Raw genomic sequence first — 26,470 nt, forward strand, 5'->3', positions numbered from 1 at the left:
AGGATGGTCTCAATCTCCTGACTTTGTGATCCACCCACCTCAGCCTCCCAAACTGCTGGGATTACAGGCATGAGCCACCGCGCCCGGCCAAGAATTTAACATTCTTAAAGCTAGTGGTGGGTGAGCTGAATGCATTTTAACTGTTTGTGTCATTGCCATGCAGTGGCACCATCTCAGATGATAAAGAGGGTATCCCATACTGGCAATGTTCCCTGGATCAGACCTCCTCCAAGTGGCTAAAGGGACATTCGTACCTGGTTTTCTCCTTCCTTCTTTCTCCTTTCATCTTTTTCTTTCTACACTTGCCATTATTAAAATATAAACCTACAACACTATCAGACAAGTTTTCTTCTTTTTTTGGGGGGGTAGGGGTGTGGGGGAGACAGCGTCTTCCTCTGTTGCCCAGGCTGGAGTGCAGCGGTACAATCACGGCTCACTGCCACCTCAAATCTCCAGGGCTCAAGCCATACTCCCAACTCAGCCTCTTGTACTCGGCCACAGGCCTGGGACCACAGACGTGCGTTACTACATCCAGCTAATTTTTTTATTTTTTGTAGAGGTCTTATTATGTTGCCCAGGCTGGTCTTGAACTCCTGGGCTCAAGCAAATGATACTCCTGCCATGGCCTCCCAAAGTGCTGGGATTACAGGTGTGCGTCACCACGCTCGGCCCCAAATTTTCTTTATGTGGTGATGCCAAGGCTAGTGCTGAAAATGTGCCCCCAAGTGAAAAAACACCATGAAGGCCAGATGCCAACCACAATACCCTGTGTCTTTCATACAGAGGGGTGCTTGCTACAAAATATTACAAAATTAAAAGTAGGATTGTGAGATTCCGTGTTGTAATGGTGAGCACTCTGGACTCTGAAAATTAAAAGTAGGAATAAAGCACAATCGGCTACAGCAGTCATAAACTTCAGTGCTCTGGCTGGTGCTGACTGCTGGCTGGAAAGGCTCCTCCATAAACAGCCCTCTGCACTCACCTGGTGACCAGAGAAAACGCAGGCACCCACTCTCTCCTCCCAGAATCCCAAAATATCATAAACACGGGCAAATGAGCACCTCCACTCTCGCTGCTTCTGTTGATGGCACTGGTCTCACACTTGAGGATCTGACTCAAAATATAGGGGTCAGCACCCGAACTCACACCTCTACTGCTAGCCCCCGACCAGACCCAGCCATCCCCTAGAGGATCAGATTGGCTTCCTCCCTGGTCTGTTTCTAGTGCCCCCAGCACAACCCCTACCCTCACCCCATCTGCTGCTAGAAGGGACCTTACAAAGGCATCCCCTGCTCAAGCAAGTTCAGTGCGAAGTCCCAGACCCTCAGGAACACGCACACATTTAAGGTTCCTCTTCTCCCAACATCATCTCCCCTCAGCCCCTCATCTGACTTTCCAGCCCCTCAAACACACCAGTTTTTTACAGACTTCTACCCTGGCCCAGCTAGAGAACTGTAAACAACTCTGCCCTCTCCACGGCTCATTTTGTGGGAAAGAGAACCCAGGCTCAGGAACTGCATGACCTGCTAAAAGCCCCACGAGTTGCGGCAGAGAAGCAGGATTCAGAGTGCCAGGCCAGCCCTCCACGGACACTGCCTTCTGCATCCTTTCTGGTGGAGCAGGTGGGCAGCAAGTGAGATGCCAGAAGGAGCTGGGTGCCGCTGCCCGTCCCCCTGGATCCCTCTGCTTGCTAGTCAGCTGGGTGCTGGGCCAGGCCTGATGTCCATCCAGGCGGGTTCCTGCTTTCAGTGCTGCACAGTGAGCAGGGTGAGGAGCCCCAGCTAGGGTCCAGATCCTGCCAGTGTTTCAGGGAATGGGGTGTGCATGCGCAGCACTGCAGAGCAAGTGCAGGGCAAGAGGAGAAAGGTTTTCATTTCTTCCTTGTTTATAAACTGCCCAAGGGCAGATGGGGTCAGCCAGTTGGGGATGCAGCGGGAGGAGGTCCAGGAGGCCTGGGTGGGGATGCTGTGACCAGTCTTAAAGCAAAACAGGAGGGAGGTGGTGTGTTTTAGACGCTGGAGGACAGGCAGTGTGAGGGAAGAAGGAAGTTGATGGAAACATGACTATGAAAAAGTAGCTTTTCGGGAAACCACAGGCAGAGCCAAAGCTAAAATAAACCATTCAGTAGATTTTATTAACCAAACAAAGCCTCCTGAGATTGGTTCTGTCACCTCGGAGCCACAAGCTGGGAAAAGATAACCACACCCACCCAGCCAGCTTCCCCCACCCCCAGCTGTTTCCAGGCCTGGGACTGGAGCCCTGCTGAGACCTTGTCCCACATCTAGGACCCTCTAGGGCCTTTGGGCACAGACAAGTAGCAAGGGCCTCTGCCAGGAACACCTAGAGGATGTCCAGCTGGGTGCTTCTCCACTCTCAGTCTGTTTGCTCAAATGTGGAATTCTAATCCCTGGCCAGTTTGCATCCCGGGGATCCCTGAAGAGATCCCAGGAGGGGAGTGCTTTGTGCACTGAAGGCGTGGAACAGGGCACTGGAGGAGGAAGACCCAGAGCCCTGGCTCTCAAGACAGGCCTGGCTCCAAGCACCTGCCATCCTTCCCAGGGAGAAGGAAGGCCTGATGTCTGGATTCCCCATTCTCTTCTGAATGCCAGGAAGCACCAGAGTGCGCGTGTGCCCCTTGGAAGACAAACCCACAACCAGGCCTGTCTGAGGCCGGCCATCCGCACGCTCCCAAGAGGCTCAGACCTGGGTCAGTCTGTCCCTAGGGCCCTCTGAGGCCTCTGCCCAAACCACAGGACTGCCCAGACCCCAGAGCAAACTGAGACAGCACAGGTCCACTCCTTGACTTCAAAGTATGGAAGGTGAGGCTGGGCCCAGAGGGTCTTGCTCAAAGCCCCCACGATATTCACTCCTGAGTCCCCACCTGCAGGCCCAAGCTGGGTGCTGGGTCCCAGAGGCGAGTCTGCCTTGCTGCCTCCAAGGGCTCCCAAAGCTTCAACCTGGACACCTCTCCTCCCTGCACACATTTGCCTCCGGGCTTGACTGAGGGCTGGGATTGGCCAGCCCAGCCCTCAGGGAAGCCAGGAGGCAGGGGGGCCCCTTCCCCATCCTCACCTACACCCTGGCTACTCCCATCCCCACCAAGCCCACCCACCTCCTGCCAGGGCCTCTGCCCCAGCCTCCTCCTGACCTGGTCCTGCCTGGGCCTCTCCTTGTGGCCGCACGGAGCGTCCTCAAGCAAGTCCCTTAGCCACTAGCTCCCGACTCCCTCACTCAGACCTTTTCCACAGTCCTTGTGGCCCTCGGGCTCCTTAGAGAGGGCCCAGCACTGGCCACTCTCCCGACTTGGCCACACACAGCCACACACGGCTCTGCCACCCCCAGTCTGAGCTGCTCCCCGCAGACCAACCATCCCAGGCCTCCCGCTGTGTGATGGGCTTCTCCAAGCCAAGAGTTCCTCCTATTCCCAAACAGCCTGAGCTGGAGCCCCAGGCCCCAGGAACAGCCATCTGGCCCTGACCCTGAGTTCCCAGACACTCCCATGACCCTGCAGAGGGCAGGAAGCCAGGCACCATCTTGCCCAGGGGCTACAGCCGCTGACCATGGTTCCCCACTGGAGAGCTAAGCCCCAGTTCAGAGGAAGCTCTGGACTCAGCTCGTGTCCACTGTGTGCTTTCAGCAGGCCACGGTGCAGCCCACTGCAAGGAGCCCTGTCTACAGCTGTGGCCACGGACGCCATGGTGGGTCGGCTCACTCCCACCTAGACTCCTGGGATCTGGTCCTGTCTTTGCCACACTTGGGGCTGGGGCTTCAGGGACTCCCCTGCAGGAAGGCAGTGCCCCTTAGTGACTGGTCACATCCTAATGCCACTGTCACCTCAGAGCCGTTGGCCCAGGGAACAAGCTGAAGACATGGAGGTTTCCCTTTCTTATAAAAATCTTTAATAAAAATAGGTTTCTGCAGAACAGGTTATAAAACAGGAATAGCAAACTCAAATTCCTGCCACCCAGGCAGGAGCGAGTGGAGCAGGTGGAGGGGGGCTAACGGAGAGCCCAGAGCAGCAACCAACACAGAGGGACCTGGTCATTGACTTGTGGGTTGCGTGCATCTTTTTTTTTTTTTTTTTTTGGGACAGAGTCTCACTCTGTCGCCAGGCTGGAGTGCAATGGCACGATCTTGGCTCACTTCAACCTCCACCTCTCGGGTTCAAGTGATTCTCCTGCCTCAGCCTCCCAAGCAGCTGGGACTACAGGTGCATGCCAGTACGCCCAGCTAATTTTTTTGTATTTTTAGTAGACATGGGGTTTCACCATGTTGGCCAGGATGGTCTCCATCTCTTGACCTCGTGACCCGCCCGCCTCGGCCTCCCAAAGTGCTGGGGTTACAGGCGTGAGCCACTGCGCCTGGCCACATCATCTCATTTTTCAAGAGATGTGTCTTTTAGAAAATTTGCATTTTTTAAAATTATACTTTGGTCTGCAAAAAATTGCATTTTTAAATGTTTGCCACTAATTGATTCTTCTCCCCTCAAAATGGCAGTGCAAGTCAAAATAAGACACAGGCAGCCAGTTCGCAACCTGTTGTATACACTCCACAATAAAAATAAATGGATCCACACAGTAGCAAAATATGTGTACAAAACCTACCAGGAAGACCAGGGACAGACCCCTACCCTCCGGTCAACATGAGACAAGGAGAGGGAAGGAAGGCTGAGAATGGGGCAGGAGCCCTTGCAGCACCAGCCTGTGTCTGCAGCCCTGGGTCCTGAGGTACCACTGGGGGATGGAAGAACTCCAAGGAGAGCCCCAGCTGGGTCCTAATACCCCAGGAGCCTTCTGGCTTCTTCACTTTGGGCCTGCAGGGTCTCGCTTGCATACTTCTGGAGGAGTTCCATTTTCTTCCTTCGCACCAGTGCCTCCTCAATCTGTGGAAATTAAGAGTGCAGGGCTCACTCCTCAGCAAAGCCCCTCAACCCCTGCCAGACCCAGCCAGGAGGAAGTCCCCGTGGGAGAAGTCCATCAAGGAGTCTGATTTAAATACGCAGAATAGTCTCCAAGAGTCCTAACTCCCTCCCATTGGAAACATTTGAACGATAGAATGGCCTAGAGCAGAGGGTCCTGCCCTTTTTGGACCCCACACCCTGAACACAATGACAGGTGTCATGTGGTCAGGACCCTGAGCTGCCCTGATGGGTAGGAAGGACAACGAAAACCCACTACAGTGCTCTGTGAAGTCTGCTTTAGAGAAGCCCCCGGCGCCCAGGCAGCTCTTAGCTGTGGTCCTACCTCTTGCTGCGAGGGAACAGGGACGTGAGCAATGAACTTCTGCTGGCTGTCGTCCCCTCCTTTCTCCTGGCTGCCTTCCTCGTCCGACTACAAACAGAACAAACGAAAGTCCATCAGTAGGCGCCCAGCTAGATAAATGCTGGCAACTCTATAAAACACACTACTCTGCAACTATTTAAAAGAAAAAAAAACTAAGAAAGTTCTATACTTATAGAAAGACACTTGACCCACAAGATTAAGTAAAAAAAGCCATAGAACACGCTGTATATTATGCTACCTTTTGTCTAAGGAGGAAATAAGAATAGAAATTACTGACGGCAGTGAGACCAAGGTAGATGAGGGACAGGGTGAGGAAAGAGAATCTTTGTGGAATATCTTTATATTCTTTTTCACTTTTGAACCTTGTGAATGTATCACTATTTTAAAAAATTTAAATGTAAAAGAATGTACCATGCATAGAAAAATAATCAGCTCAGAGGTTGCCTATGAGTCAATACAAATTTCTAATAACAAAGAAAACACCACGGACTTGGAAAGAGAGAAGGGGTCTTGTGGCGAGTCAGGAGTCCACTGTTTGCTGGGCTCTGCCAGACACCGTGCACGACCCATTCCCTGACTGGCTCCCAGTGGGGATGGCTTCAAAAGCCTCTTGAGGAACCTCTCATCCACTGCTGGCACTTGGAGAAACTGGTTGTATCTAACACTAAACACATACCTACCCTGATCTGGTGGTTCCACTCCTCAGCATGTACTCAAGAGAAACACTGCACGGGAACAAGAAAATTCCCAGCAACCCTATCTGCCAAAACCCCAATCTGGACACAACACAAATACCCACAAACATTAGACACAAAAGAGTACACACGACTCACATATGTAAAGTTCAGACACAAGTGAAATATATGGGTCACAAGAGGTCAGGAGGGTGACCCCTGAGGCAGTAGTGAGCTTCTGGCGCTGTGGTCCTGTTCTGTTTCTTCACTGGTATTTGCTATGTGTGTGTGTGTTCACCCTGTGAAAATCCAGTGACCTACACATTTAGCAGGTGTGTACTTTTCTGTATATGGAACAACACTCAGCAGTGAAAAGGAATGAACTATTGAACTCAACAACCAGAGGGATGGCAAGGGCATCATGTTAAGTGTCAAGGCCATCGTGAAAGGTGACTCACAGCATGATCCCATTTATAAAACATTCTGAAATGACAAAATCAGAGATGGAGAACAGGTTAGGGTTCAGCTAGGAGAAGAGATGGTGAGGACAGGGAGGTGTGAACTGTGAAGGGGTGGCACCAGGGATCTTTGTAGTAAGGGGACAGTTCCCAGGCTGGAGTGCAGTGGTGCAATCACAGCTCACTGTAATCTGAACCCCCTGAGCTCAAGCAATTCTCACACCTCAGCCTCCTGAGTAGCTGGGACTATAGGCATGTCCAACCACACCTAGCTAATTGTTTTTATTTTTGGTAGAAACAGGGCCTCATTGTGTTGCCAGACTGGTCTTGAACTCCTGAGTTCAAGCAATCCTCCCACCTCAGCCTCCCAAAGTATTAGGATTACAGGTGTGACCACCACCCCCGGCCAGTTCTGTATCTGGATTGTCATGATGGCCACATGGATCTCCACACATGGAGACAAATGACACAGAACTCCACACACTCAATATGCCAATGTCAACCTCCCAGTTTTACTACTGTGCTAGAACTACATGAGATACAACCACTGGGGGGAACTGGGTGAAGCATACACAAGATCTCTCTGTACTCTTTGCAACTTCCTGTATCTCTATAATTATTTGAAAAGAAAAAAAAATTCTGCTGTGGGTTTCCACTGCTCTTCCCCACAACGCCAGCTCCCCATCAGCCTCCACTCACACCCAGCACCCACTCTCTGCACTCCAGCACACTGGGCTGTCCTTTGTCTCTCACACTCATCACAGGATCTCTCAGCACATGATGCGCCCCTGCTGGGAGCCCTCTCTCATCTCCTCCTTCCTTGGTTAAGTTCGCTGGATCATCCTAATCTCAGCTGAGGGTTTAGCTTCCCAGCAGAGTGTCTGCAGGCTGTCCCTGCACCAGGCTCTATTGAGGGACTGTTGCTCACTGTCTCTCTTACTGGACTGCCTCCCCCTGGACTATGAGCTACACTCCAAGCCTCTGTACCACCATGCCCCTGCACCTGGAATGCGGCTGGCTCACAGGAGCCATGAATTAAACACCTGCTGAGAGAGCAAATGAATATTTGTACCTAGAGGAAATCCTCCTAAGGCATGCTGCCATCCTGCTTCAGACCTGCACTGAACCCCAGTGCTGGCCCAGCTGGACATGAGCAGGAACGTCAGGCCTGTTATATCCCATGTGACATTAAGTCACTAAACCTGAGCCTGCTTCTTCACCAGTGATGTCTCAGCAAGCTCCTCATGTGGAACCTGAGCCATCATCCATGTGTGGGTGATCCCCTCCCTTCTCTCAGTCCAGCAAATCAGATCCACCTAGACCTGTGCAGGCAGCAAGGACTCCAAATATAGGGCCCCGCAGAAGAGCTCTGCCTGGGAGGCAGAGATTTCAAATGTTGAATTTTCCTTGTTTCAGAATACCTCCTTTAATGCAGTGAAGTTTTGGTAATGTTTCATAGAAAAAATAAAAGGTGTAGCACAGACAGATATGTCAAGATTACTTACATGGTGGCTATAATAAAAAGTAATAACTAAGATATATAATGAGTATTTCCTATAAATCAGAAAATATGCAAAAGATCAGAAAATATGCAAAAGGTCTGAAAATATGCAAAGATTCCCCAACCATGACCCTCTAAGAAAGTTTCTTCTCTGCTCTGCGTTTCTTTCCATGTGTAAGACAGGGGTGTTAGGGCTGGGAGCAATGGTTCACACCTGTCATCCCAGCACTTTGGGAGGCCAAGGCAGGTGGATCACAAGGTCAGGAGTTCGAGACCAGCCTGGCCAATATGGTGAAACCCCGTCTCTACTAAAAATACAAAAATTAGCCATGCGTGGTGGCACTCGCCTGTAGTCCCAGCTACTTGGGAGGTTGAGGCAGAAGAATTGCTTGAACCCGGAAGGCAGAGGTTGCAGTGAGCCAAGATTGTGCCACTGCACTCCAGCCTGGGCAACAGAGCCAGATTCCGTTTCAAAAAAAATAAAAAAGATGGGGGTGTTAGACTACAGAAGAGCAACTGCCACTGACACGTGAACAGAAGTGATGAGGTCATGGGCTAAAGCTCATGGCTTCCTCTGTGTTTATCAGTCTAATTCTAGTGTATGCAGAAGGGCCTGTCTTTAAGAAGGAAAGAAGGAAGCCCTGGTGTAAAGCACGGCCGGCAGGGCACTCTCATGGCTGCTGCCTCCTGAAACCCTCCTGTAATCTCGCAAGTGTTTTCACAGCCATCCTGCAGGTGAGCAAGCTGGGCTGTGAACCCTGACTCTGTATTTGGGAGCCAAGTTTCCTCCCTGCCACACTTCATGGCTTGGAACAGATGGCAGTGAGTGCCAGAGGGGGCCAACCCCAATACCTCCTCCTCGGTGACTGCATAGATGTTGATCTCTTCCTCCTCTTCCTCCTCCTCTTCCTTTTCTCCTCTTGCCAGCCGAGCCTCTCTCTCTGCTTTCCACTTTTCCACTAACTCGGCTCTGACTGAACACAAGAGAGGGTAGGTGCTATTTATTTGTCTCTAAATGAGCTTTCAACACTATGCAGGGAAAGGCCAACACTATGCAGGGAAAGTCTAGACATCCCCTCTAGAAAGGGACACCCTTCATTCTGCCCCCGTGGGTGGAAATGGATGTGAAGCATGGTAGTCCTACAACAGCTCTGGCCTTCAGTCACTACAAAGCAGCTTTTTAGGGAACATTCCCAAATCCTCCCCACTTCCACAACCTGAGTGGATTCCCAACATGTCCACATGAAAAGAGAGAAGGCAGGGGCAGAGCATGCTAGAAAGCAGCTCCAGCTCCAGACCACTTGCTTCCAAAGTCCTGGCCTGATGTGTCACATGGGCACTGGTATTAGCACGAATCCACATGGTGACCTCCTAGCAGACAGGGACCGGTCAGACGTGGCTCTCATGGCTTCCCCAACCTGTTACCTCTGGCCCACACAGCTTTGACTGCCTCACAGGGGTCAGGGAATTAGCAGACCATCACGCCTGAAGATCATTAGCAACAAAGAAAACTCCCTTCTGGCATAAAGCACTATTGAAAATCCTGTTTTCAAAGGACACAACAGAAAACAGATGCCATCTATTATGAAATAAAATGCCCAGAGACCTACGTTTCTTTTCATATTCCTGTTCCAAAGGCACAATAACACCATCATCTTCATCTAGGTAACCATAGTACTCAAAATCGATTGCCTTCATGAGCTCAGCACGTGTCTTTCTGGGAGGAGGAAGAGCTATAAGAAACAGAAATGGAGCTGAGTTTCCAAGTCATAATCACACTCCAGCGAAGCTGTCTCCTGATGCAACGCTATACACACACGTGGCACGTATGTTCATGAAAATACCAGGTGGGCGCAGTGGCTCATGCTTGTAATCCTAGCGCTTTGGGAGGCCCAGACAGGTGGCTCACAAGGTCAGGAGTTCGAGACCAGCCTGACCAACATGGTGAAACCTCGTCTCTACTAAAAATACAAAAATTAGCCGGGCGTGGTGGTGCGCACCTGTAATCCCAGCTACTCAGGCTGTGGCAGGAGAATCGCTTGAACCTAGGAGGCAGAGTTTGCAGTGAGCCGAGATCACGCCACTGCACTCCAGCCTGGGCGACAAAACAAGACTCCATCACACAGAAAAAGAAAATACCATGGATAGACACTTTTCTATACTATTCATGGAATTATTTAAGTGGTAGAGCCCTTTTTAAAATCAGTACTTGGACCCATTTGTCCGTTTAAAAGCAATCTACCTAAGTAAAAAACAAAACCAGGCCGGGTGCGGTGACTCATGCCTGTAATCCCAGCACTTTGGGAGGCCGAGGCGGGAGAATCACGAGGTCAGCAGTTCAAGACCAGCGTGGCCAATATGGTGAAACCCCATCTCTACTAAAAATACAAAAATTAGCCAGGCATGGTGGTGGGGGCCCCTGTAATCCCAGCTACTCCTGAGGCTGAGGCAGGAGAATCGCTTGAACCCAGGGGACAGAGGTTGCAGTGAGCGAAGACTGCACCACTGCACTGCAGCCTGGGCGACAGAGCGAGACTCCATCTCAAAAAAAAAAAAACAAAAACCAAACACGAGATAGCAAAAAGCTTCATGTACAGAAATATGCATCACAGTATTATTTATATAATAGAGAAAACTTGGGAATAACCTATGATTGTAAATTGCAGAATATGTATGGGATGGGATATCCTGCAGCCCCTGTAATGCTATTTCACAAAGTATTTTAATAACACAGGAACTGTCATAATGTTTAATGAAAAAGCATGACAGGAAACATAAGTAAATAAAAAAGACAAAAGAAGCTAGAAACAAACAAAAAAGATACATGAGAAAGCCCTAAAGAAGATATTTTCAGACTAGGACTACAATCCAGAATATTTAAGTAATTCTTTTTTTTTTTTGAGATGGAATTTCGCTCTTGTCCAGGCTGGAGTGCAATGGCATGATCTTGGCTCACTGCAACCTCTGCATCCCGGGTTCAAGCGATTCTCCTGCCTCAGCCTCCCGAGTAGCTGGGATTACAAGCACCCGCCACCACACCCAGCTAATTTTTGTATTTTTAGTAGAGATGGGGTTTCACCATGTTGGCCAGGCAAGTCTCGAACTCCTGACCTCAGGTGATCCACCCGCTTAGGCTTCCCAAAGTGCTAAGATTATAGGTGTGAGCCACTGCACCCGGCTAAGTAATTATTAAAAATGAAAAACAAAATGACAACCAACCAGATTGGTGAAAGAATAAAAGCTGGCCAGGTGCAGTGACTCATGCCTGTAATCCCAGCATGTTTTTTTCTTTTTTTTGTGGGACGGAGTCTCGCTCTTGTTGCTCAGGCTGGAGTGCAATGGCGCAATCTCAGCTCACCACAACCTCCGCCTCCTGGGTTCAAGCAATTCTCCTGCCTCAGCCTCCTGAGTAGCTGGAATTACAGGCACGCACCACCACGCCCGGCTAATTTTGTATTTTCTTCTTCTTCTTTTTTTTTTTTTTTAAAGACAGAGCCTCGCTCTGTCACCCAGGCTGGAGTGCAATGGCGTGATCTCAGCTCACTGCAAGCTCCGCCTCCTGGGTTCACGCCATTCTCCTGCCTTAGTCTCCCGAGTAGCTGGGATTATAGGCACCTGCCACCATGCCCAGCTAATTTTGTATTTTCTTCTTCTTTTTTTTTTTATTTTTTATTTTTTAATTTTATTTTTTTAGACAGAGCCTCACTCTGTTGCCCAGGCTGGAGTGCAATGGCGCGATCTCAGTTCACTGCAAGCTCCGCCTCCTGGGTTCACGCCATTCTCCTGCCTCAGCCTCCCAAGTAGCTGGGATTACAGGTGCCCGCCACCATGCCCAGCTAATTTTTTGTATTTTTTTTTAGCAGAGACGGGGTTTCACCATGTTAGCCAGGATGGTCTTGATCTCCTGACCTTGTGATCCGCCCGCCTCAGCCTCCCAAAGTGCTGGGATTACAGGCATGAGCCACCGCACCTGGCCTAAAAAAATAAAAAAATTTTTAAGGCCGGAAAGGAACATACCAAACAGATAATAATGGTTATCAGTTACCTCTAGGAGGGGCACTGGGATGAGTGTAGAGGTAAGAGGACTTTAACTCTATCTGTGCTATTTGAATTATAACCAGTAAAATTCACTTATGCATTTTCTTTCTAAAACAAAAATCTTTTCAATAGATGACAAAAAAGGAAAAATAAATTTAAAAACCCAAAACTCTATCACTGGAATAAGCAAAAATATATTTAGAAAAATGTAAATGCAAAAAACCTAACATATAGAGCATAATCACAATATAGGAGCCACCCCAACACAACCCTTTAGAAACTGGAAGGAACAGCCAGGCGAGGTGGCTCACTCCTGTAATCCTAGCGCTTTGGGAGGCCGAGGTGGGCAGATCATGACATCAAGCGTTTGAGACCGGCCGGGAGCAGTGGGATGTTATCCCAGCACTTTGGGAGGCCGAGGCGGGCGGATCACGAGGTCAGGAGATAGAGACCATCCTGGCTAACACGGTGAAACCCCGTCTCTACTAAAAAAATACAAAAACTTTGCCGGGCGTGGTGGCGGTCACCTATAGTCCCAGCTACTCGGGAGGCTGAGGCAGGAGAATGGCGTAAACCCGGGAGGCAGAGCTTACAGCAGTGTGCCGAGATCGCATCACTGCACTCCAGCCTGGGCAACACAGCAAGACTCCATGTCAAAAAAAAAAAAAAAAAAAAAACTCGAGACCACCCTGGCCAACATAGGGAAACCCTGTCTCCACTAAAAATACAAATTAGTACTGGGCACAGTGGCTCACGCCTGTAATCCCAGCATTTTGGGAGACCAAGGCGGGCGGATCACAAGGTCAGGAGATTGAGACCATCCTGGTTAACATGGTGAAACCCCGTCTCTACTAAAAAAACACAAAAACTTTGCCGGGCATGGTGGCGGGCGCCTATAGTACCAGCTACTCAGGAGCCTGAGGCAGGAGAATGGCGTGAACCTGGGAGGCAGAGCTTGCAGCAGTAAGCCGAGATTGCGTCACTGTACTCCAGCCTGGGCAACAGAGCAAAACTCCATCTCAAAAAAAAAAGAGCTCGAGACCACCCTGGCACCAACACAGTGAAACCCTGTCTCTACTAAAAATACAAATTAGTACTGGTCACGGTGGCTCACGCCTGTAATCCCAGCACTTTGGGAAGCTGAGGCAGGTGGATCACGAGGTCAGGAGATCGAGACCATCCTGGCTAACACGGTGAAACCCCGTCTCTACTAAAAATACAAAAAAAAAATAAAATTAGCTGGGCATGGTGGCAGATGCCTGTAGTCCCAGCTACTCAGGAGGCTGAGGCAGGAGAATGGTGTGAACCCAGGAGGTGGAGCTTGCAGTGAGCCAAGATTGGGCCACTGTACTCCAGCCTTGGTGACAGAGCGAGACTCCATCTCAAAAACAAAAAAAAGATACAAATTAGCTGGGCATGGTGGCATGCGCCTGTAGTCCCAGCTACTTGGGAGGCTGAGGCAGGAGAATTACTTGAACCCGGGAGGCAGAGGTTGCAGTGAGCCGAGATTGCACAACTACACTCCAGCCTGCGCAACAGAGCAAGACTCCATCTCAAAAAAAAAAAAAGAAAGAAAGAAAGAAAGAAACTGGAGGGAACAATGCCCTAATGTATTAACAATCATCACATATGAGGTGTGAAAATGTGAGTGGTTTTTTTCTGATTTTCTGTATTTTATAACTTTTTTTTGTTTGAGATGGAGTCCTGCTCTGCTGCCCAGGCTGGAGCGCAGTGGGACGATCTCGGCTCACTGCAACCTCTGCCTCCCAGGTTCAAGTGATTCTCCTGCCTCAGCCTCCTGAGTAGCTGGGATTACAGGTGCCTGCCATATGCCCAGCTAATTTTTTTTGTATTTTTAGTAGAGACAGGGTTTCACCATGTTGGCCAGGCTGGTCTCGAACTCCTGACCTTGTGATTCTCCCGCCTCAGGCTCCCAAAGTGCTGGGATTACAGGCATGAGCCACTGCGCCTGGCTATAACTCCTCTGTAGTAAAAAATATATTCCTTCATAATTAATGGCACAATATTTAAACTCTGAATTATTTTTAAGGGATGGTAGTGGCCTATGCAAAACTAGCTGTGGAATAATGAATTTTAAAATAAGCAGCATTTAATAAAAATAGAACTATATTTTTTTTAAAATAGAAAAGCCAACTAGAAGGAGATATAACAAAATGCTAATAATGGTGAAAATACTGGCATCATTCTTCTCTGCCTCTCATACTTTTTCCTATGAAGTGTTGACTACCTTTCTAAAACACAAAATCAAAACCGACTAAAACTCCAGACTAACAGTTTCAAATTATATTCAGGAGGTTTGGCTGAAAGAAGGAGGAAAGGTGGGTGTGCCCTATTTGGATTCACACAAAAGTAGCTCCACTTTTCTCCTTTTTTTTTTTTGAGATGGAGTTTCGCTCTTGCTGTCCAGGCTGGAGTGCAATGGCACGATCTCGGCTCACCGCAACCTCCACCCCTCAGATTCAAGCAATTCTCCTGTCTCAGTCTCCTGAGTAGCTGGGAGTACAGGCATGCACCACCATGCCCAGCTAATTTTGTATGTTTAGTGGAGACGGGGTTTCTCCATGTTGGTCAAGCTGGTCTCTAACTCCCTACCTCAGGTGATCCGCCCACCTCAGCCTCCCAAAGTGCTGGGATTACAGGCATGAGCCACAGTGCTGGGCCTCACTTTTCTCCATTTTTACATTTAGGGTTTGGCCCAAGATTGTATTTGTTCTTTGGTTATCATTTGTTCAACTAATAAGTAACTGAAACATGACCTGATTCAATGAACTTCAGAGCCTGCCCCAATCGTTCTGGGAAACTTCAAATAGGGAAACTCCTTGTCCAGACTGACAGATTAGCACCTGCCAAAGGCAGAATCCTGCACCAGCCAATCCTGGGCACACTTTCCAGCCCCAATTGTATGGCATGGGCCTATGATTCTATCCCAGTTCTTAAGAATTCTCAGTTAAAATCTGGGAACAATAATTCCTACACTATAAGGCTGTTATGCAACTAAGAAAAAAAAGTAAGAGCAGTTAGCATATAGCATATCTACTCTTATGATTATTACCAATGAAAGGCTAAAACTGTCACAAACTTACTTACGTTCTTTTTCAAACAGCTCTCTAACACCAGGCAAATCTTTTGCTGCTCCAAAGTACTTGTAACCTCGGTTTCCTGGGACTTCTTTTCCTTCATGATCCAGCATTTTAGGGCCAACTTTCTTATTGGGAAGAAAAAAAGAGAAAATGGATCTGTTAGTTAGTTAGTTAGTTATTATTTATTTATTTATTTGAGGCGGAGTCTCGCTCTGTTGCCCATTTATTTATTTGAGGTGGAGTCTCGCTCTGTTGCCCAGGCTGGAGTGCAGTAGCACAATCTCACTGCAACCTCCACCTCCTGGGTTCAAGTGATTCTCCTGCCTCAGCCTCCTGAGTAGCTGGGATTACAGGTGCGTGCCACCACGCCTGGCTAATTTTTGTATTTTTAGTAGAGACGGGGTTTCACCATGTTGGTCAGGATGGTCTTGAACTCCTGACCTCATGATCCACCCACCTCGGCCTCCCAAAGTGCTGGGATTACAGGCGTGAGCCACTGCGCCTGGCAGATCTGATCTTTAAACCCACTATTTCCATGTTTGCAAATATATTTTAAGATAATAGCTGGATGCAGTGGCTCACACCTGTAATCCTAGCACTTTGGGAGGCCAAGGTAGGCGATCACTTCAGCTTAGGAGTTCAAGACCAGCCTGGGCAACATGGCAAAACCCTGTCTCTACTAAATATACAAAAATTAGCTGGGTGTGGTGAGACATGCCTGTAATCCCAGCTACTCAGGAGACTGGGGCAGGAAGAATTGCTTGAACCTGGGAGGTGGAGATTGCAGCGAGCCAAGATCGTGCCACTGTACTCCAGCCAGGGCTGGAGTAAATTAAATAAATAAATAAATAAATAAATAAATAAATAAATAAAAAACACTTATGGGCTGGGCACGGTGGCTCACACCTGTAATCCCAGCACTCTGGGACACCAAGGTGGGAAGATCACTTGAGGCCAGGAGTTCACGACCAGCATGGGCAACATGGCAAAACCCTGTCTCTACAAAAAAATGCAAAAATCAGCCAGGCATGGTGACACACACCTATCGTGCCACTGCATTCCAGCCTGGGTGACAGAGCAAGACCCTGTCTCAAAAAAAATAAATAAAACTAGGCCGGGCGCAGTGGCTCACGCCTGTAATCTCAGCACTTTGGGAGGCCGAGGTGGGCGGATCACGAGGTCAGGAGACCGAGACCATCCTGGCTAACATGGTGAAACCCCGTCTCTACTATAAATACAAAAAATTAGCTAGGCATGGTGGTGGGCGCCTGTAGTCCCAGCTACTCAGGAGGCTAAGGCAGGAGAACGGCATGAACCTGGGAGGCGGAGCTTGCAGTGAGCTGATATCACACCACTGCACTCCAGCCTGGGTGACAGAGCAAGACTCCGTCTCAAAAAAATAAAATAAAATAATTAAAAAATAAATAAATAAATAAAGATAAAAAACACGATGCTAAGTGACAAAACCTTTAAAAAGATTACAAACAACCTATATGACAATTAGTGGAAAACAAATGAAATATATCCAGAAGATACAACTATATCTATTAAAACTGATGATTTGCTGGGTGCGGTGGCTCACATCTGTAATCCCAGCACTTTGTGAGACCAAGGCGGGAAGATCACCTGAGGTCAGGAGTTCAAGACCAGCCTGGCCAACATGGTAAAATCCCATCTCTACTAAAAATACAAAAATTAGCAGGGTACGGTGGTGCACATCTGTAATTCCAGCTACTTGGGAGGCTGGAGCACAAGAATCACTTGAACCTGGGAGGCGGAGGTTAGGGTGAGCTGAGATCGCACGCCACTGCACTCCAGCCTGGACGACAGAGCGAGACTCTGTCTCGAAAAAAAAAAAAAAAAAGACGATTTGACAACTACATGTAGTATGTGACCCCAGATCAGGTCCTGTACTGCAGGGGAAATGCTACCAAGGACATTATTGGGAAAACTGATGAAATGCCACATGGATTCAATTATTGTAGCCAAGTTAAATTTCTTAAACTTGATAGCTCTACCATGGTTACATAAGAGAATATTCTTCTTAGGAAATACACATATATTAAAGGGTAAAGAAGCATGATGTATTGTAACCTACCTTTCAAGTGGTTCACAAAAAATAAATCTCAAGGTACACAAAGAAAATAAAGCAAATACAAGCAAAATGTTAAATACTGGTAAATCTGTATAAAGGGTATATAAAAGTTCTCTGTATATTTTTGCAATGCTCTTTGAGTTAAAAAACATTTTTTTAAATCATACAATTTGGCTGAGCACAGCGGCTCATGCCTGTAATCCCAGTACTTTGGGAGGCTGAGGCAGGATGACTGATTGACTCCAGGAGCTCAAGACCAGCCTGGGCAACATAATGGGACACCATTTCTACAAAAAATTTAAAAATTAGCTGGGCATGGCCAGGCACGGTAGCTCACACCTATAATCCCAGCACTTTGGGGAGCCAAGGCAGGTGGATCACCTGAGGTAGGGAGTTCGAGACCAGCCTGGCCAACATGGTGAAACCCTGTCTCTACTAAAAATACAAAAATTAGCTGGGCGTGGTGGTGGGCACCTGTAATCCCAGCTACTCTGGAGGCTGAGGCATGAGAATCGCTTGAACCCAGGAGGGGGAGGTTGCAGTGAGTCGAAATCACACTCCTGCACTCCAGCCTGGGTGACAGAGCGAGACTCCGTCGCAAAAACAAAAATTAGCTGAGCATGGTGGCACACACCTGTCATCTCAGCTGCTCAGGAGGCTGAGGTAAAAGGATTACTTGCACCTGGAGTCAAGGCTGCAGTGAGCCATGATCGTGCCACTGCACTCCAGCCTGGGGTGACAGAGTAAAATCTTGTCACAAAAACTAAGAGGCTGGGTGCAGTGGCTCACATCTGTAATTCCAGCAGTTTGGGAGACCAAGGCGGACAGATCACCAGAGGTCAGGAGTTCGAGACCAGCCTGGCCAACATGGTCAAACCCCAACTCTACTAAAATATAAAAATTAGCCAGGTGTGGTGGCGCACACCTATAATCTCAGCTGCTCTGGAGGCTGGGGCACAAGAATTGCTTGAACCCAGGAGGCAGAGGTTGCAGTGAGCCAAGATCGCACCACTGCACTCCAGCCTGGGTGATGAAGCGAGACTCTGTCTCAAAAAAAAAAAAAAAACTAAACTAGAATAAAATAAAACAATATACATATCTATCATATGATTATTTATTGACACGAAACTGTATTCCTTGTACAGTTTAGAGAATAAAGCACATAGAATATTAATGAATTTCTATAATGTATATACTAATATGTATTTTTTATATCTTATAATTTTTATATTTATATTTTTTCTCTGCACAAAAATATGTACTGTTTATATAATGAAAGCTACCATTTTGAAAAGAAAAACAAAATCCAGAACCAAAATTGTACATACAGTGAGTATGGTTTCAATTATGACATTCATACAAAAACAACGGAAGGAGAAAAAAGATAAAGAGCATATTCAAGTGGCTGCACTTATGTAATGGGATTGTGACTGAGTGTTGTTCTGCTTCTTTGTACTTTTCTGAACTTAGTGGTAATATATTACTTTTATATGTAGAAAATAAAAATAAAATTATTAAGCATTAAAAATCTCTGGAAAAAATATATAAAAATATTAATAGTGTTGAATTTGGGTGGTGGAACTTAACATTTCACATACGAATTTTTTCATACCTGAGACCACTTTTCTAGGTGGATTAATGAGCTGCTTTTAAGCTGCCTCACAGGAAAAATAAAATCTCCACCACACAACTGCTGAAGAGATCAGGCAAGGGCTCACTCTGGCAGGACATATACTAAAATCGGAATGATACAGAGAAGATTGGCATATAAAAATAAAAAACAGCAAAAATAAAATAAATGAAAAGAAAAAAAGAAGTTAGGCAAGACACCCAAGAGAAGTCTCCTAGTGCAGTGCCCAGACACAAAAGGTGCTTCAGAAATGGGAGTGCCTTTCCTCTTCTGCAGTGGGAAGGCTGAATACTCCATTTGTATGTACTAGGGTAAGAATTATGGTTATGTGTTAGACTTTCACAAGGTGAAAAGATCAACACGTAGAAAAACTGCATGTGTTTCTTATATAACACATTATAGTCCATTGATTACATACTGTTTCCAGTGATCTGAGGTAGGTCTCATCACAAAAGTGTGAACGAATTAGGCTCTGGGGCAGGAGTTTTCAAAACCAAGACCCATTAGTGCATCATGAAATCAGTTAAGCAGGTCACAAACATCAAATTTTTAAAAACCAAAATAGAACAGAATAAAAAATATACCATACTTATTGTTTTTTTCAGCACCTTTGTGTGCTGGCTTGTGATTGTGTGTGTGTGTGTCTGTGTGTGTTTTACAATGAGCCATGTTCTTAAAAGTTTGAAAGCTATGGTTCTAGAGTATTGCATTTATAGAAGTCCAAAAAAAGGACAGAATGTAGTGTCTCTATGGCTCTCAGATAACAAAGCCAACAAATAGCTGTCTCCAGTTCCTAAGGCACTTAAAGAATGTGAGGAACCATGCTCATTTTATCTTTTTTTTGAGACAGCATCTTGCTCTGGCACCCAGGCTGAGGTGCAATGGCATGATGACAGCTCACTGCAGCCTCCACCTCCCAGGCTCAAGCCATCCTCCCACCTCATCCTTCTGAGCAGCTGGGACTATAAGCATGTGCTACTATGCCTAGCTGATTTTTAAATATTTTGTAGATTCAGGGTCCCACAACACTGCCCAGGCTGGTCTCAAACTTCTGTGCTCAAGGGCTTATCCTGTCTCAGCCTCCCAAAGTGCTAGGATTACAGGTGTGTGCCACTGCACCCAGTGAAGGACCATAGTCATTTTTTTTTTTTTTTTTGAAGACAGAATCTTACTCTGTCGCCCAGGCTGGAGTGCAGTGGCGATCTTGGCTCACTGCAACCTCCATCTTCCAGGTTCAAGTGATTCTCCTGCCTCAGCCTCCCAAGTAGCTGGGATTACAGGCGTGCACCACCACACACAGCTAATTTTTGTATTTTTAGAAAAGATGGGCTTTTGCCATACTGGCCAGGCTTGACTTGAACTCCTGACCTCAAGTGATCTGCCCGCCTCGGCCTCCCAAAGTGCTGGGATTATAGGAGTGAGCTACCATGCCCGGGCTCATGGTCATTTTAAACACGAGGCCGAGAGATGAAGCAGCTTCCACAAGGCCTTCTGGCTGGTACATACAGATGCCCCGTCTGCTGTGATGCATGTGCTGTGAGGTCTTCCAGCATCATCCTACCCATCCTGTTCATAGCTTTCCTGTATCAAGCGACTACTATGGCAAGAATGAGCTGGGAACTGCTGTGGGTGGAAAACTAGACAAGACCCGCCACTGGGGCTGCCATGTACTCACTCCATAATCAGGACCTCCCAGCTCCTTTATCCGGACCTCCCAGTGTCCTTTCTCCCTTAGCAGCTTGTTAATTTCATCATTCAGGTCACGAATTCGAAATTCACCTAAACCAGCTAGAAAACAAAAAGGTTAACAATATCATTCCATAAAAATGAATGTCAACACCTCTAACACGTACACTTAGTATCATATCCTTAAAATGAATGTCAACACCTACAAAGGTATACTACATAAAAACACTCATCTAAATTGATAAGAAAAACCACCCAAATAAATGAAAGGACAAGAATTATAAACAGAGTTCCCACTAGCGTAAGAAAAAAAAAATCCTTGAAAATAACTTCATTCTCATTAGCAACCAAAAAAATATAAACAACCCTGAAACAACCCAGCAGTTCCATTTATAAAACTACTGAAATAACAAGCTCTTAAGAGAGATGGGGAAACAGCAACTAAGGCCAGCAAAGACACAATGAGGCTGGGATACGCACCCAGGGATGGCAGCATTCTATGATGGTTTAGCGTTTTCAGGAAAGCAATGTATTGCTATATGGGAAAAATTTTTGGCAAGGACTATAGGGCTAAGAATTATGCCTAAGGGATTAATTGAAAGGGATGTACACAACAAATTTCACTGTGGTGCAGCTGGGGCATCACACCACAGAGAAGGTAGGAAAATGGTTAATGAACCCTAATATGTTGAAATGAAACATCATATAACTTTTGAAAGGGACAATTTGCACACAGTGGAGACACAGCAAGGCCTTCATGAGGTAATGCTGGATGACAACAGCAAGTCCAGAAGGGCTCTTACACCTGGGTTACAGCTAAGACTGATGCTCTAGAAGATGGGCATGAGAGGACTTCTAGGGGTGATGGATACTGCATGTGGAGGTGGTGGCTTTCACGGGTATAAAAATCTGCTGCAACTCATCCAACTCTACATTAAAAACGGGGGAATTTTATTACATGTAATTCTTGCCTGGATAGTCTATTTTTTTAAAAAAGTCAAACAGGCCAGGTGCAGTGGCTCACGCCTGTAATCCCAGCACTCTGGGAAGCAGAAGTGGGTGGACTGCTTGAGCTCAGGAGTTCAAGACTAGCCTGGGCAACATAGTGAAATCCCATCTCCACCAAAAATATGAAAAATTAACTGGGTGTGGTGGCACATGCCTGTGGTTCCAGCTACTTGGGAGACTTAGGTGGGAGAATCGCTTGAGCCCAGGAAGTGGAGACTGCAGTGAGCTGTAATAGCACCACTGCACTCCAGCCTGGGTGACAGAGTGAGACCGCCATTCAAAAAAAAAAAAAAGTCAAGTAAGAATATATTGTAACTGGGTGCGGTGGCTCACACCTGTAATCCCAGCCTTTCGGGAGGCAGAGGAGGGCAGATCACTTGAGGTCAGGAGTTCGAGACCAGCCTTGGCCAACATGGGGGAGTCCTTGTCTCTACTAAAAATACAAAAATCAGCCAGGAGTGATGGTGCACGCTTGTAATCCCAGCTACTCAGGAAGCTGAGGTAGCAGAATAGCTTGAGCCTGGGAGGCAGAGGTTGCACTGAGCCAAGATCACGCCAGGGCACTCCAGCCTGGGTGACAGGGCAAGACTGTCTCACAAAAAATAAAAAAATAAAAAAAATACATTTTAGAACCTCCCACTCCCACGTTCTGTTCTATTAAGAAAGAAAAAAGACCTGCCACCACCATGGTGAGACTTTCCAGTGCTAAAGACACAGAGAACTCAAGGCAGCCCAATCCTCTGAGGGCCTCAACCAAAGCAAAGGGAGAGGATTCCAGAAGCCTCTCCCAAAGCAAAGCCAAGGCATCTTGGAGAAAACAAGAATCACAAGTTTTATTTTTTTTATTGACTTTCCAAAATCTACATATAAAAACAATACTTTTTGGTACACAATTATGTGAGTTTTCACAAATGCATATAATCATGTAATCATCACCATAATTAAGACACAGAAAAGTTCCATCGCCCCAAAACATTCCCTTATGCATCACTATAGTCAACCCCTCCCCCTACCCAACTTTTGGCCACCAGTAAACACAATTTATTCTGTTCCTATAATTTTGCTTTTCCAGAACATCATATAAATGGATCAAAAATTATGCAGTATTTTGAGTTTTGTTTCTTTCACTCAGCATTAGGCTGAGTTGAAATGTTTTATTTATTTTTTTTATTTTTATTTATTCATCGATATGTTTTAATTTTATTTACTTTAATTATTATTATTATTTACAGAGATGAGGCCTTACTATGTTGCCCAAGCTGGTCTCCAACTCCTGGACTCAAAGCGATCCTCCCACCTTGGTCTCCCAAAGTGCTGGGGATTACAGGCATAAGCCACGGTGCCTAGCCTATATGTTTGTTTTTACTACTGAGTATTATTTTATTTTATAGACACACCTCAGTTTGTTTATCCATTCACCAGAAGGACCTTTGGGTTGCTTCCAGTTTTGGGGCTACTATAAACATTATGTATGAGTTTTTGTGTAACAGAAAAGTATTACATTTCTCTTGGAGAAATACCTAGGAGTGGAATTGATGGATCATAGGTTAAGTGTATGTTTAACTTTATAAGAAACCACCAAACCCCATTCTAAAGTAACTGTTCCATTTTGCCTCCTCACTAGCAGTGCATGAGAGTTCATTACTTCACATATTCACCAGCACTTGGCATGGTCACTATTTGTGTAAGTCATTCTATTAAGTGTGTAGTATCCCACTGTTGTTTTAATCTGCATTTCCTTTATGACTATTATGTTAAACACATGAAAAGATGCTCATTTGCATCTACATTTTATTTTATGTTTTGAGACAGTCTCACTCTGTTGCCCAGGCTGGAGTGCAGTGGTACAATCTCAGCTCACTGCGACCTCTGCCTCTCAGGTTCAAGCTATCCTCATGCCTCAGCCTCCCAAGTAGTTGGGATTACAGGCGTGAGCCACCACACCCAGCTAATTTTTGTATTTATTTTTAGTAGAGATGGGATTTTGCCATGTTGGCCAGGCTGGTCTCAAACTCCTGGCCTCAAGTGATCCACCCATCTCGGCCTCCCAAACTGCTAGGATTACAGGCGTGAGCCACCATGCCCACCCTACATATTTTCTTTGGTAAAGTATCTGTTCAAAATTTTGCCCACTTCTTAAAACAAATTATATTTTCTAATCGATGAATTTTTAAGAGTTATTTGTCATCCCCTTCTCCATTGAATTGTTTTCATAACTTTGTCAAAAGTCAACTGACCAAACCAGACATAGTGGCTTATGCCTGTAATCCCAATACTTTGGGAGACACAGACAGGAAGACTGCTCAAGTCCAGCCTGGGCAACATAACAAGAGCCCATCTTTACCAAAAACTTAAAAATTAGCCAGGCAGGGCTGGGCACAGTGGCTCACACCTGTAATCCCAGCACTTTGGGAGGCCGAGGCAGGCAGATCACTTGAGGTTGGGAGTTCGAGACCAGTTTGACAAACAAGGATAAACCCTATCTCTACTAAAAATACAATTAGCTGGGTATGGTGACACATGCATGTAATCCCAGCTACTTGGGAGGCTGAGGCAGGAGAATCACTTGTACCCGGGAGGTGGAGGTGTGGTGAGCTGAGATCACGCCACCACACTCCAGCCTGGCGACAAGAACAAAACTCTATCTCAAAAAAAAAAAAAAAAAAAAAAAAAAAATTAGCCAGGCATGCTGGGCACAGCAGCTCACGCCTGTAGTCCCAGCACTTTGGGAGGCCAAGGTGTGTGGATCAGGAGGTCAAGAGATGGAGACCATCCTGGCTAACACAGTGAAACCCCGTCTCTACTAAAAAAAAAAAAAAAAAAAAAAAAAAATATATATATATATATATATATATATACACAAAAAAAATCAGCTATGCATGGTGGCACACACTTGTAGTCCCAGCTACTTGGGAGGCTGAGGCAGGCGAATCGCTTAAACCCTGGAGGCAGTGAGCCAAGATCGTACCACTGCACTCCAGCCTGGGCGAAAGAGCAAGACTCCAACTCAAAAAAAAAAAAAAAAAAAAGAAAGAAAGAAAAAAATTAGCCAGGCATGGTGGCATGCGTCTGCAGTCTCAGCTACATGAGAGTTTGAGGCAAAAGGATCACTTGAGCCCAAGAGGTGGACGCTGCAGTGAGCTATGACTGCACCACTGTACTCCAGGCTGGGTGACAGAGAAAGGCTCTATCTCAAAAAAAAAAAAAAAAAAGAAAAAGTCAACTGACCATTTATGTGTGGCTCTATTTCTGGACTTCTAATTCTGTTTCTTTGGTCTATGTGCCCTGTCCTTTCACCAATACCACATTATCTGGAAGCTGGAGCTTTCTATTACATCTTGAAATCAGGTGGAATGAATGCTCCAATTTTGTTCCTTTTCAAAATTGTTTTGGCTATTCTAGTTCCTTTGCCTTTCCAATTAAATTTCAGACATAGAATGTCAATGTAAACAAAAAATCCTGTTAGAATTTTGATTGTGATATATTGGAAGAGAGAAAGAATTAACATCTGTACTGTGTTAAGTCTTCCCATACAACAGCACAGTGTATCTCCCCATTCATTCGGGTCTTCTTTGGTTTCTTTAGTCATCGCATCCTAGTTTTCAGCATACAGATCCTGACTGTATTTTGTTAGATTTATACCTAAGTATGGCCAGGCGCGGTGGCTCATGCCTGTAATCCCAGCACTTTGGGAGGCCAAGGCGGGTGGATCACGAGGTCAGGAGATCGAGACCATCCTGGCTAACATGGTGAAACCTCGTCTCTACTAAAAATACAAAAAAAATTAGCCAGACGTGGTGGTGGGCGCCTGTAGTCCCAGCTACTCGGGAGGCTGAGGCAGGAGAATGGCATGAACCTGGGGGGCGGAGCTTGCAGTGAGCTGCACTCCAGCCTGGACGCCAGAGCAAGACTCCATCTCAAAAAAATAAATAAATAAAATTAAAATTAAAAAGATTTATACCTAAGTTATTTCTTGTGTTTTGGTGCTTTTGTAAATAGCACTTTAAAAAAATGTTGTATTTCCAGCTGTTCAATGTTAGTATATAAAAATATAATTTTGAAGCTGAGCATGGTGGCTCACACCTGTAATCCCAGTACTTTGGGAGGCTGAAGCAGGCAGATATCACTTGAGCCCAGAAGTTCCAGACCAGCCTAGCCAACATGGTGAAACTCTGTCTCTACTAAAAATACAAAAATCAGCCAGGTGTGGTGGTGGATGCCTGTAGTCCCAGCTACTCGAGAGGCTGAGGCAGAATAGCTTGAACCTGGGAGGCAGAGGTTGCAGTGAGCCGAGACTGGGCCACTGCACTCCAGCGTGGGTGACAGAGGAAGACTCTGTCTCAAAAAAAAATATATATATATATAAATATATAAAATATATAAATATATAAAAATATATATAAATATATAAAAATATATATATGAATATATATGGGGTGTGTGTGTATATATATAATTCTGTATATTGAACTTCTTTTCTGTGATCTTGATAAATTCACTTATCCATTTTAGAAGTCTTTCTGTAGGTTCCTTGGGATTTTCTACATAGAAAATTATGTAGGATTTTAGGTGGGCATGGTGGCTCATGCCTGTAATCCCAGTACTTTGGGAGGCAGAGGCGGGTGGATCACCTGAGGTTGGGAGTTCGAGACCAGGCTGGCCAACATGGCGAAACTCTGTCTCTAGTAAAAATACAAAAATTGGCCGGGCATGGTGGCACATGCCTGTAGTCCCAGCTACTCAGGAGGCTGAGGCAGGAGAATCGCTTGAACCCAGGGGACAGAGGTTGCAGTGAGCCGAGACTGCACCACTGTACTTCAGCCTGGGTGACAGAGCGAGACTCCATCTCAAAAAAAAGAAAATTATATAGGATTTTCTATGTTACAATAAAGACAGTTTTACTTATTATTTTCTAATCTTTATGCCTTTTATTTCCTTTTTTTACTTTACCGCACTGGCTAGGATTTCCAGCATCACGCTGAATATAGTGGTGAGAG

At 46.2% G+C, this 26,470-nt stretch overlaps 2 protein-coding genes across 3 annotated transcripts in view; both read right to left on the reverse strand.

The window, feature by feature from the left end:
- ISY1-RAB43 (ISY1-RAB43 readthrough) overlaps positions 1 to 26,470 on the reverse strand; it is a 73,492-nt gene that overhangs the window by 37,735 nt on the left and 9,287 nt on the right. The window contains exons 6-11 of the mRNA NM_001204890.2: positions 20,455 to 20,567; positions 15,062 to 15,179; positions 9,526 to 9,648; positions 8,768 to 8,889; positions 5,244 to 5,330; positions 4,782 to 4,882 (exon numbers count right to left, since the gene is read on the reverse strand). Of these exons, the coding sequence (NP_001191819.1) occupies positions 4,782 to 4,882; positions 5,244 to 5,330; positions 8,768 to 8,889; positions 9,526 to 9,648; positions 15,062 to 15,179; positions 20,455 to 20,567 (664 nt within the window). The remainder of the gene's footprint in view (positions 1 to 4,781; positions 4,883 to 5,243; positions 5,331 to 8,767; positions 8,890 to 9,525; positions 9,649 to 15,061; positions 15,180 to 20,454; positions 20,568 to 26,470) is intronic.
- Positions 2,109 to 26,470, reverse strand: part of ISY1 (ISY1 spliceosome associated protein) — a 33,649-nt gene continuing 9,287 nt past the window's right edge. The window contains exons 6-12 of one of the 2 annotated variants that reach the window (NM_001199469.2): positions 20,455 to 20,567; positions 15,062 to 15,179; positions 11,825 to 11,890; positions 9,526 to 9,648; positions 8,768 to 8,889; positions 5,244 to 5,330; positions 2,109 to 4,882 (exon numbers count right to left, since the gene is read on the reverse strand). In NM_001199469.2, coding sequence (NP_001186398.1) covers positions 4,775 to 4,882; positions 5,244 to 5,330; positions 8,768 to 8,889; positions 9,526 to 9,648; positions 11,825 to 11,890; positions 15,062 to 15,179; positions 20,455 to 20,567 — 737 coding nt within the window. In that variant the 3' untranslated portion in view covers positions 2,109 to 4,774. The remainder of the gene's footprint in view (positions 4,883 to 5,243; positions 5,331 to 8,767; positions 8,890 to 9,525; positions 9,649 to 11,824; positions 11,891 to 15,061; positions 15,180 to 20,454; positions 20,568 to 26,470) is intronic. The other variant, NM_020701.4, reaches the window with a different exon arrangement.

This window comes from Homo sapiens, chromosome 3 (assembly GCF_000001405.40).
Source record: "Homo sapiens chromosome 3, GRCh38.p14 Primary Assembly".
Classification (NCBI taxonomy): Eukaryota; Metazoa; Chordata; class Mammalia; order Primates; family Hominidae; genus Homo; species Homo sapiens.